The sequence below is a fragment of the Homo sapiens genome, chromosome 17 (assembly GCF_000001405.40).
Source record: "Homo sapiens chromosome 17, GRCh38.p14 Primary Assembly".
In the NCBI taxonomy this organism is placed as follows: domain Eukaryota; kingdom Metazoa; phylum Chordata; class Mammalia; order Primates; family Hominidae; genus Homo; species Homo sapiens.
In genome coordinates this window covers 1,665,940-1,678,187 of record NC_000017.11, presented here as the reverse complement: position 1 = coordinate 1,678,187, position 12,248 = coordinate 1,665,940, and the positions used below count along the sequence as shown (strand labels likewise).

The 12,248-nt window shown below is 48.6% G+C and overlaps 1 protein-coding gene across 2 annotated transcripts in view; it reads left to right on the top strand.

Moving 5' to 3' along the window:
* PRPF8 (pre-mRNA processing factor 8) overlaps window positions 1-12,248 on the top strand; it is a 34,239-nt gene that overhangs the window by 6,680 nt on the left and 15,311 nt on the right. For both annotated transcript variants that reach the window (XM_024450537.2, NM_006445.4), the window contains exons 14-24: window positions 494-623; window positions 1,016-1,212; window positions 1,477-1,683; window positions 1,818-1,981; window positions 2,134-2,260; window positions 2,376-2,568; window positions 2,849-3,036; window positions 3,508-3,746; window positions 4,296-4,442; window positions 4,621-4,831; window positions 4,991-5,107. In XM_024450537.2, coding sequence (XP_024306305.1) covers window positions 494-623; window positions 1,016-1,212; window positions 1,477-1,683; window positions 1,818-1,981; window positions 2,134-2,260; window positions 2,376-2,568; window positions 2,849-3,036; window positions 3,508-3,746; window positions 4,296-4,442; window positions 4,621-4,831; window positions 4,991-5,107 — 1,920 coding nt within the window. The remainder of the gene's footprint in view (window positions 1-493; window positions 624-1,015; window positions 1,213-1,476; window positions 1,684-1,817; window positions 1,982-2,133; window positions 2,261-2,375; window positions 2,569-2,848; window positions 3,037-3,507; window positions 3,747-4,295; window positions 4,443-4,620; window positions 4,832-4,990; window positions 5,108-12,248) is intronic.

Genomic DNA, 12,248 nt, shown 5'->3' with positions numbered 1-12,248 from the left:
GCGCACCACCATGCCTGGCTAGTTTTTGAAATTTTAGTAGAGATGGGGTTTCACTGTATTGGCCAGGCTGGTCTTGAACTCCTGACCTCAGGTGATCCACACTCCTCGGCCTCCCAAAGTACTGGGATTACCAGCGTGAGTCACCGTGCCCAGCCTCACTGGACTTAACTTTCTCAGATCTTTTTTCATGTATACATTTAGACAGGGCTCTTTCCAGGGACCTATTTGGAGAGCAGCTATGACTGTGTCCTTACTGCTCCTTTAAATTCACATGGGCGATCTTAGTTCCTGGTTTTTGCCTTAAGGTTTCTCATTTACCCTTTTGTTTTAGATGTTGAGGTCCCAGAGTTTTTTTTTCTTTTTACCCCTCTACTGCCATACCTACATTCCTCTGTATGTATATTATACATATATGCCCCACCTCTGCCCAGGTTTCTATTGTTGTTTAAATGCATTGCTAACTTGTATTCTTAACTTCTGCTTGGGATCGTAGGGCCCTGTAGGGAAGGGTCCTGGCTGTGGCTTCTGGGCTGCCGGTTGGCGAGTCTGGCTCTTTTTCATGCGTGGCATTACCCCTTTATTAGAGCGATGGCTTGGCAACCTCCTGGCCCGGCAGTTTGAAGGTGAGTGGTTTTCTCTGTGTCCAACTTCTCCTGTTATTGCTTCAAAAGTACCTGCCCCTGTTTGAGTCTGTTCCCTGCTCTTGTATGAGCACTCTTCCTACTGGATTGCCTTTAGGTCCAGTTCTGAAATGAGTCTGACCTAGTATTCTATTTCTTGGGCTTCCTTCTGGGGCCTTGAGAGGCAGTCATGCATTTGCAGGAGTGGAAATTCCTCAGAAGCATAGTTGTGAATGTTTAAGGTAGCTCGTCTTTTTGCATATGCTGGGCACAGGGACGCTTTGTTAATACCTAATTTTATTAATAACCATAATGAGTGAGGAGCATGAAGGTAGAGACCCTTATTGAAAGCAAGGAATCTTCCTTGTAATCCCCTTGGGACACTCTACTTCCAGGTCGACACTCAAAGGGGGTGGCAAAGACAGTAACAAAGCAGCGAGTGGAGTCACATTTTGACCTTGAGCTGCGGGCAGCTGTGATGCATGATATTCTGGACATGATGCCTGAGGGGATCAAGCAGAACAAGGCCCGGACAATCCTGCAGCACCTCAGTGAAGCCTGGCGCTGCTGGAAAGCCAACATTCCCTGGAAGGTGGGTGTCTCTTTATTTCCTTGGAGGCGTAAACATCCGTCTTTAGGGTAGGATTACCACTTCGGGAATCATTAGGGGGCTATCTGGCTCCAATCTCTTTTCTTTTCCCTTTTAGACAGGGAAAAGAAGCACCATGTTGCTTAGGCTGGCCTCAAGCTCCTGAGCTCAAGCGATCCTCCTTAGCCTCCTGAGTAGCCGGGACTACAGATGTGTGCCACAGTGCCTGGCTGGATCCTGGCTTGATTGTGCTTTTTGGACTTTTAGGTCCCTGGGCTGCCGACGCCCATAGAGAATATGATCCTTCGATACGTGAAGGCCAAGGCTGACTGGTGGACCAACACTGCCCACTACAACCGAGAACGGATCCGCCGAGGGGCCACTGTGGACAAGACTGTTTGTAAAAAGAATCTGGGCCGCCTCACCCGGCTCTATCTGAAGGCAGAACAGGAGCGGCAGCACAACTACCTGAAGGTTGGGCAGAGTAGGCTGGGCTGGGTGTGAGTGGTGGGGGAGTGGGCAAGAGGGAGGACTGTAGAGTTGTGACTGAACCTTGTTCTGGCAGGATCGGGCTGTAGCGGGAGGCTAATTTCATGTCCACCTTACAGGACGGGCCTTACATCACAGCGGAGGAAGCAGTGGCAGTATATACCACCACAGTGCATTGGTTGGAAAGCCGCAGGTTTTCACCCATCCCATTCCCCCCACTCTCCTATAAGCATGACACCAAGTTGCTCATCTTGGCATTGGAGCGGCTCAAGGAAGCTTATAGGTGAGTAGTAGGGTAGATAGGTTCCTGCTGGGAAGGTGACAGCAGGGAATGGCGTCATCCTCAGAGTCCAAAGAAAGAAGGTGTAGCCCCAGTCTTTCCTGGTTTTACTTCCTCCTAGTTTTCCCATTCACCCTTCCCATTGCTTTTGTCAGTGTGAAGTCTCGGTTGAACCAGTCTCAGAGGGAGGAGCTAGGTCTGATCGAGCAGGCCTACGATAACCCCCACGAGGCGCTGTCCCGCATCAAGCGTCACCTCCTCACACAGAGAGCCTTCAAAGAGGTGAGTGAGGCCTCCCAAGTTTTCTTTTTGGTTCTACCAAAGGTAGCAGTTGCCTTTGGTTCTACCAAAGGTAGCAGTTGGTGGATTGGTGTGAACCAGCCTCCTTGTCCCACAGGTGGGCATTGAGTTCATGGATCTGTATAGCCACCTCGTTCCAGTATATGATGTTGAGCCCCTGGAGAAGATAACTGATGCTTACCTGGACCAGTACCTGTGGTATGAAGCCGACAAGCGCCGCCTGTTCCCACCCTGGATTAAGCCTGCAGACACAGAACCACCTCCGCTGCTTGTTTACAAGTGGTGTCAAGGTAGAACTTTCATGAGATCGCCCTGTGAGGAACGGGGCAGGAATTTAGTTCTACGTCAAAAATCTCATCTGGGTAGCATGATTGGTTTACTCTCTTGATGCGTGGTAGTAAAGGGAAGTAGTGTTCGTGTTAAACTGAGGAAAAGCCCATAGTCAAAGCAATCCAAATGAATACGTGGAATCATAGTGGGATTGGTTATGGAAGGTAATGATAGTTCCTGTGGGGCTAGTCTTGCAAGAGGATTTCTAACCTGCTGGAGACCTGCCTTGCTACTCCTCAGGCATCAATAACCTGCAGGACGTGTGGGAGACGAGTGAAGGCGAGTGCAATGTCATGCTGGAATCCCGCTTTGAGAAGATGTATGAGAAGATCGACTTGACTCTGCTCAACAGGCTGCTGCGCCTCATCGTGGACCACAACATAGCCGACTACATGACAGCCAAGAACAACGTCGTCATCAACTATAAGGTGCGTCTCAGGCGCAGTAGCATGGAATTGTGTGTGGAGTGCTTGTCTGGCCCACTGACTCAGAATTTGCTGAGGAGGAGGCTGGGTGCGGTGGCTCATGCCTGTAATCCCAGCACTTTGGGAGGCTGAGGCGGGCAGATCACGAGGTCAGGAGTTCGAGACCAGTCTGGCCAACATGGTGAAACCCCGTCTCTACTTAAAAAAATACAAAAATTAGTTGGGTGTGGTGGTGGGCGCCTGTAATCCCAGCTACTTGGGAGGCTGAGGCAGGAGAATCACTTGAACCCGGGAAGTGGAGGTTGCAGTGAGCTGAGATTGCGCCAGTGCACTCTCAGCCTGGGTGACTGAGCACAACTCCGCCTCGGGAGTGGAAAAAAGTAGAATTTGCTGAGGGGAGAACAAAAGAGGTTAACTCTGGAGAATCCTGGGGCATGGCTCACATTCTTAAGAATTGTAGTTCTTTCTTTCTAGGACATGAACCATACGAATTCATATGGGATCATCAGAGGCCTGCAGTTTGCCTCATTCATCGTGCAGTATTATGGCCTGGTGATGGATTTGCTTGTATTGGGATTGCACCGGGCCAGTGAGATGGCTGGGCCCCCTCAGATGCCAAATGACTTTCTCAGTTTCCAGGACATAGCCACTGAGGCTGCCCACCCCATCCGTCTCTTCTGCAGATACATTGATCGCATCCATATTTTTTTCAGGTGAGGGCTTTCCTGGATTCCTAGCCTTGCAGGGTACTGAGGCATGTGCTTTGCCTCTGAAATCAGCTATTGTACCTGAGTTGACTTAACTGCTGTTGGGGCTTTAAAATGGAATGAAGCGGCCGGGTGCGGTAGCTCACGCCTGTAATCCCAGCACTTTGGGAGGCCGAGGCAGGCGGATCACGAGGTCAGGAGATCGAGACCATCCTGGCTAACACAGTGAAACCCCGTCTCTACTAAAAATACAAAAAATTAGCTGGGCGTGGTGGCGGGTGCCTGTAGTCCCAGCTACTCCGGAGGCTGAGGCTGGAGAAGGGCGTGAACCTGGGAGGCGGAGCTTGCAGTGAGCCGGGATTGCGCCGCTGCGCTCCAGCCTGGGGAAAGAGCGAGACTGTCTCAAAAAATAAATAAATAAAAATAAAATGGAATGAAGCCCGGGGAGGGTGGGGGTAGGATGGGGTGGGGTCTCCGTCTATTGAGCTGGAGGACTTGTGGGTGTCCCAAATCTCAGTGTACTGGGGCCTCAGCAGTGTACCTGGTCTGGTGTAGGTTCACAGCAGATGAGGCTCGGGACCTGATTCAACGTTACCTGACAGAGCACCCTGACCCCAATAATGAAAACATCGTTGGCTATAATAACAAGAAGTGCTGGCCCCGAGATGCCCGCATGCGCCTCATGAAACATGATGTTAACTTGTGAGTCTAGGTTGGGGCTGTGTGAGCTGGAAGGACATAAGCTAAGGGCCCAGAGAGGGCATACCTGAGGCTGCGTCCTGGGTGGGAGAGGCGTGGCTGTGTCAGGATGTCATCAGTTGGCCTTTGAAGGGAAGTTCCTTCCAAGAAACTGCTGTGACCATGTGTTCTCTGTGGGCAGAGGCCGGGCGGTATTCTGGGACATCAAGAACCGCTTGCCACGGTCAGTGACTACAGTTCAGTGGGAGAACAGCTTCGTGTCTGTGTACAGTAAGGACAACCCCAACCTGCTGTTCAACATGTGTGGCTTCGAGTGCCGCATCCTGCCTAAGTGCCGCACCAGCTATGAGGAGTTCACCCACAAGGACGGGGTCTGGAACCTGCAGAATGAGGTACAGCCTGGGCGGGGCTGGGAGTGACATGAACGCGCCTGCACTTCCTGGGTCAGTCACCGGAGTCTTGTTGGGTGGAAAGACTTGAGTGGTGGGCACAGTTGGCTCTTGCTTCTGTGGGAGTTCCTCGGACATGTTAACCTTGACTTTGTGGTTTAGGTTACTAAGGAGCGCACAGCTCAGTGTTTCCTGCGTGTGGACGATGAGTCAATGCAGCGCTTCCACAACCGCGTGCGTCAGATTCTCATGGCCTCTGGGTCCACCACCTTCACCAAGGTACAGGGCCGTCATGCCCAGCTTCCCTCTTGTCCTCTGCTGTCCTCTGCTCATTTCACACCCCTTTCACTTCGTCCCCTGCTGGCTGCTTCCTTCTCTTCTTTGCTTAGTGTGCCAGTTTCCATGCTCTGTGCCATAGTGGCTTATAGTATGTCAGGTCACTTCATCGTTATTTTCTGAGCGTTCCTTGTAGAAATTGTGTAGCCTCCTTCTTGTGGACTTGTGATGATTCTAAATTAAGGCAAGAGTAAAAGTTGGATTTATTATTTTGAACAGAAAAGCATTATTTTTGCATTTTCTCAGGTGCTTATCTAAGTCATGTTAACCAGTGGCATAGAGAACCTGTGAAAAAGCAGCCCTCATAGGCATCTCGGGGTTCGTTTCTCCTTCACTTACCTTCAGAGGCCCAGCCGAAGGCAACCGGAATTGAGAAAGAAAAATCTGAGGAATTTTGAACTACGTATATTTAAGGTTTTGCAAAATTTAAAAAGTTACCTCGGCCGGGCACGGTGGCTCACGCCTGTAATCCCAGCACTTTGGGAGGCCGAGGCTGGTGGATCACCTGAGGTCAGGAGTTTGAGACCAGCCTGTCCAGTGTGGTTCTGAAACCTCGTCTCTGCTAAAAATACAAAAATTAACCGGGCCTGGTGGCCGGCGCCTGTAATCGCAGCTACTTGGGAGGCTCAGGCAGGAGAATTGCTTGAACCCAGGAGGCGGACGTTGCTGTGAGTCGAGATCGTACCATTGCACTCTAGCCTGGGCGACAGAGCAAAAACTCTATCTCAAAATACAAACAAACAAAAAAAAGTTACCTTACTCTGGTTTCCATTAGAGTAACTCTTAGCTATAACATTTTTCTTGCATTCCGACCTTCATATCTCTAAATGTGCGGCATTTGCATGCGCAGAATGTTTTCTGTTTTTTAGTTAAGTCTGTTAAGGATACGTTCTGTTATGTTTTAGAACTATTGCATTACGGTTGAGTTTCCTTTATCCAAAATGCTTGGGACCAGAAATGTTTTGGATTTCAGATTTTCTTTTTTAATATTTTCATTATTTTTATTAGAGACAGGGTCTCACTGTCACTTAGGCTGAAGGGCAGTGGCGCTATCATAGCTCACTGCAGCTCAAGTGATCCTCACACCTCAGCCTCCCAAGTATCTGGGACCACAGGTGCATACGCCACCATGCCTGGCTAATTTTTAATTTTTTTTTTTTTTTTTTTTTTTTTGAGATGGAGTCTTGCTCTGTCACCCAGGCTGCAGTGCAGTGGCGCAGTCTTGGCTCACCGCAAGCTCCGCCTCCCAGGTTCACGCCATTCTCCTGCCTCAGCCTCCTGAGTAGCTGGGACTACAGGCGCCTGCCACCACGCCCGGCTAAGTTTTTGTATTTTTGGTAGAGAAGGGGTTTCACCGTGTTAGCCAGGATGGTCTCGAACTCCTGACCTTGTGATCCGCCTGCCTCAGCCTCCCAAAGTACTGGGATTACAGGCGTGAGCCACCACACCCGGCCTGATTTTTAAATTTTTTGTAGAGCTGGGATCTCACTCTCTTGTCCAGGCTGGTCTCAGACTCTGGATTCAAGCAGTCCTCCTGCCTTAGCCTCTCTAATGCTGGATTATAGGTGTGAGTCACCGTGCCCAGCCTTGAAATATTTTCATTATACTTACAGGTTCAGCATCCCTAATCCAAAATTTGAAATGCCCCAATGAGCATTTCCTTTGAGCGTCATGTTGGTGCTCAGAATGTTGGGACTCAGAAAGTTTCAGCTTTTTGTGAGCATTTTGGGTTTTAGATTAACCTGTATGTGGGAATCTGTGAGAGCACTAGAGTTAGTGATTGCTCTAGCCCAGTCTGGAAGTGGAAGAGGAAAGGATTCCTGAAAGAAGTAGCATGTGATGAGACAGGTGAGGGAGAGCATTCCTTTAGCCAGAAGTGTGGCGATGTAACTAGCTTGTGTACATGGGACCATGGAAAGTTCAAGGTTTGCTGGAGTAAATTGTGGAATTGGGAATGTTAAGAGATGAGGCTGGATAAATAGTGGAGAGCCATATCATGGAGGGCATCGCACACCTTAGGAAGAATCATATAAGGGTCTTAAGCACAGAGTGACTTTGTCAGATGTGTTTTTCTTCTTTTTTTTTTTTGGCTTCCCACACTACAGATGCAGACTTTGTCAAATTTCTGTGTTAGATGATTCACTCTTGCAGCTGTGAGAAAGATGGACCTGAAAGGATAGGATGGGAGACCAGGTTTGGGGACCACTGAAGAAGTCCAGATAAAAATGATGAGAGCAGGCCAGGCGCGGGGGCTCACGCCTGTAATCCCAGCACTTTGGGAGGCCCAGGCAGGTGGATCACCTGAGGTCAGGAGTTTGAGACCAGCCTGACCAACATGGGGAAACCCCATCTCTACTTAAAATATGAAAATTAGCCGGGCGTGGTGGTGCACACCTGTAATCCCAGCTACACAGGAGGCTGAGGCAGGAGAATCGCTGGAACCCGGGAGGCGGAGGTTGCAGTGAGCCGAGATCCCACCAGTGCACTCCAGCCTGGCAACAGGGTGAGACTCTGTCTCCAAAAAAATACATAAATCAATAAAAATGATGAGAGCACTGAAAGTAGAGGTAGGAAGAGGGGAACAGATTTGATAAGAAGTTAGCAGATAAAATCAGCAGAACTTTGTGGTCCTGGGATGCTCAAAGAAAAGTCAAAAATGATGTGCAGATTTTGGCATGGGTGACTAGGTGGGTGTTAGTGCCACCAACTGGAAGACCACATGAACAAGAACAGGTTTAGGATCGAAGATAAAGAAATCTAGTTTAGGATATATAAAGTTTGAAGTTCCTGAGAACATTCAGATGGAGATTTCCCCAGGTATTTATTTATACCTTATTTCTTCAGTTCCAAGATACATATTTAAGTACATATATACACATGTGTAGATTCCTGATTCCTTCTGCTCCCTTAGTGGTGCCTCTTTAATTGATGATCTGTTAGATTTGATTTAAAAAGTATGAGTGAGACATTCCAGGGAGAGAAATGAAACTAGAAAGGTAAGAGCAGTCAGGGATAGCTTAGAGGTTCCTAGGTGAGAAGCAATCTGAAGAAACATGGAGAACAGGTCTGGATTAAAGATGTAGATTTCGGAGCCTATCCACAAAAGGTCAAAAGCTCAAGAATGAGTGACATCACCCAGGGACAATGTGGAGTGAGAAGAGGAGAGGGAGGAATTTGGAAATGTGGGGAATACTAAGATGAAGTGTGGTCAGAACCTGTGGGAGGGTGCCGGGTCTTGGAACCAAGGCCTTCAGGAACACGTGTCCAGAATTGGGGTGATGCTGAGCAGTGTCAGTTGCCTAAGAGCATTTCAGTTAGATGAGGACTGAAAAGTATCCATTGGATTTGACAGTTAGGACGTCATTGGTGACCTTAGCAGGAGCTGTTACAGAAATAGTAGGGATGGAAGCCAGATGGCAGTGGGTGAGGCTTCATGGGAAGTGAGTGAGTGGAGACAGCAAGGACAATCTGTTTGTCAGTTGAAGAGAAGGAAGGACATCAGATGCCACCTAGAGGGAGCTGTAAGTCAGTGCAGGTGTTTTTGAATGACAGTGACTTGAGCGTGTTTTAATTAAGGAGCCCAGTAGCAGTTGAGTGTACAAGAGAAAAGTGTGGAATTGGCTGGACACAGTGGCTCACGCCCGTAATCCCAGCACTTTGGGAGGCCAAGGTGGGTGAATCACCAAGTCAGGAGTTCGAGACCAGCCTGGCCAACATGGTGAAACCCCGTCTCTACTAAAAATACAAAAATTAGCCAGGCGCGGTGGCGGGTGCCTGTAATCTCAGCTACTCGGGAGGCTGAGGCAGGAGAATTGCTTGAACCCGGGAGGTAGAGGTTGCAGTGAGCCAAGATCGTGCCACTGCACCCCAGCCTCGGCGACAGAGCAAGACTCCGTCTCGAAGAAAAGAAAAGTAGGTAATTGATGAGCAGAGGTGCAGAGGGTCTCCCTAGGGATAGAATAAAGAGCAAGCAGAGGAAAAATCCTCTGAACCTGACAGGAAAGAGGTCTGGAAAGATGTGGATATAGATGAGGTTAGTGGGAAGCTATAACAGGATTTTGAGTTTTTCAGCTTTTCTTGGGCTGCAGTTAGGGGAAAGAGTTGTGCATAGTGAATTTCATGGTATTAGGGTATGATGATTGCTGAAGAAACTGAGAGGGATTGGAAGGTGTGTTGGGAGCTCAGCTGGGTTTTGGGAAGACAACTCTGAGCATTTGTTTTTCCCAGAATCACCCAGCTACTCAGTGACAGGGATGCAGAAGGTGGATAGATTACACTGGTGATTAAGGAATAGAGCTCTGTTAGAAGACAGTTGTAGAGTGGTAAGGCATTGAATGCAAGGGAATCAAGAGTGCGGGACCCAGCCGGCCGCGGTGGCTCATACCTGTAATCCCAGCACTTTGGGAGGCCGAGGCGGGTGGATCACGAGTTCAGGAGATTGAGACCATCCTGGCTAACGCGGTGAAACCCCGTCTCTACTAAAAATACAAAAAATTAGCTGGATGTCGTGGCGGGCGCCTGTGGTCCCAGCTACTCAGGGGGGCTGATGCAGGAGAATGGCAGGAACCTGGGAGGCAGAGCTTGCAGTGAACCGAGATCGCGACACTGCACTCCAGCCTGGGTGACAGAGCAAGACTCTGTCTCAAAAAAAAAAAAAAAAAAAAAAAAAGAATGCTAGACCCCATTGAGATACTGGAAGAGGGGAGAGGAGAGAGAGCAGAAGAGGCCATTGGCCTGGGAAAGAATTGTAGGCATCAGGGAACTGGATATCAGAAGTTAGAGGCTGAGGAGTGGAGGAGTGTCTGAGAGGGTAAGGATGCAGTTGACTCTAGTGGTTAGAAGCACAGGCTCTGGAGTCAGATGGGGTTCACATCATATCTTTGTCATATTACTAGTTGGGATCTTGGGAATATTGCCCATGCTGGGCCTCAATTCCCTCATCTGTAAAATAGGGATACTGATAGGACCTAGGTCAGACGGCTTTTGTGAGAATTAAATGAAACGGGGTATTTAGTAAGCCATATTACTTGGTAAATTGCATGATAAAGCTGGGCATGGTGGCTTATGCCTGCAATCCCAGCACTTTTGGAAGCCGAGGTGGGAGGACTGCTTGAGCCCAGGAATTTGAGACCAGCTTAGGCAACATAGCAAGATCCTGTTTATATTTAAAAATAAATAAATAGGCCGGGTGCGGTGGCTCACGCCTGTAATCCCAGCACTTTGGGAGGCCGAGGTAGGTGGATCACGAGGTCAGGAGTTCAGGACCAGCCTGGCCAATATGGTGAAACCCCATCTCTACTAAAAATACAAAAATTAGCCAGGCGTGGTGGCACATGTCTGTAGTCCCAGCTACTCTGGAGACTGAAGCAGGAGAACCACTTGAGCCCCGGAGGTGGAGGTTGCGGTGAGCTGAGATTGCGCCACTGCACTCCAGCCTGGGTGACAAAGTGAGACTCCATCTCAAAAAAAAAAAAAAAAAAAAAAAGCTATGTCATGGGCAAGTTCTATAACTTGTTTTTTATGAAGACATAAGAGGTATAACATATATAAATTTCTTACCATGGTACCTAGTACACGTAGACCTGAGTAAATATTATTTTCCTTCTTGCCTCCCCTTATCCCCCAGGAATTTCTGCTATTTAGTAAAGGAACACTGGGCTCCTCAGGAATTTATGCCTCCTCCCCTTCAGGGATAGAGCACTGTTAACTACAACAGAAATACTGTGTTCCATTACACACATCAGCAATTCCAAGTGCAGTCCAAGAATTTACTAAACCTAATGGGAATCATCCACTTGCCTTTACCCCAGTATCTAGCCTATCCTGGCCCCTGGCCCTCCTTTTTTTTTTTGAGAGGGAGTCTTGCTCTATTGCCCAGGCTGGAGTGCAGTGGCACAATTTCAGCTCACTGCGACCCCCGCCTCCCGGGTTTAAGTAATTCTCCTGCCTCAGCCTCCTGAGTAGCTGGGATTACAGGTGCCTGCCACCATGCCCGGCTAATTTTTGTATTTTTAGTAGAGACAGGGTTTCACCATGTTGGTCAGGCTGGTCTCAAACTCCTGACCTCATGATCCAACCGCCTCGGCCTCCCAAAGTGCTGGGATTACAGGCATGAGCCACCGCACCCGGCCCCCCTCCTTTCTGTAGATCTGCCTGGTTGTCTCATCCTGTGGACATGCGAGATGCTCAGTCTAGCTTTCATAGTAGGGTTTGAGCTGTTATCTCACCTGCAGTCTTTTCTCCTTGCTTGTCTGAATACCATTTGCTCAAGGCAGATTACTATAGTAACTCCAGCCAACGCACTCTTTCACCTCAATAATTGTTCAGAAGACATTTTTTGCCTTAAAGTCTTGACTATATCATTTGGTATTTTGTGGTTTGCTATCTTGTTTTATTCAGCTTTTCAAAGAAACAGCTTTGGTTTCATTAATTTTTATCGTTTTTCTCTTTTTTGTTGCATTGATTTTTTTTTTTTTTGAGATGGGGTCTCTATGACCCAGGTTGGTGTGCAGTGTCGCAGTCTCAGCTCACTGTAACCTCTGCCTCCCAGGCTCAGGAGACCCTCCCACCTTAGCCTCCCAAGTAGCTGGGACCACAGGCACATGCCACCATGCCTGGCTGATTTTTCTTTGTATTTTGGATACAGACAGTTTCGCCATGTTGCCCAGGCTGGTCTTGAATTCCTGAGCTCAGGTAATCCACCCCCCTGGGCTCCCAAAGTGCTGGGATTGTAGGTGTGAGCCACCACGCCTGGCCTTGTTGCATTGATTTCTTCTCTTATCATTGCCATCCCTTTGCTAGTTTGTTAAGGTAAAAGGTTAGATTATCAATTTTGGACCTTTCTCTTTTTTTTTTTTTGAGACAGAGTCTCGCCCTGTCACTCAGGTTGGAGTGCAGTGGCGCGATCTCTGCTCACTGCAAGCTCCGTCTCCCGGGTTCACGCCATTCTCCTGCTTCAGCTCCCAAGTAGCTGGGACTACAGGTGCCCACCACCACACCCGGCTAATATTTTTTTTTGTATTTTTACTACGACGCGGTTTCACCGTGTTTGCGAGGATGGTCTCGATCTCCTGACCACCACCTG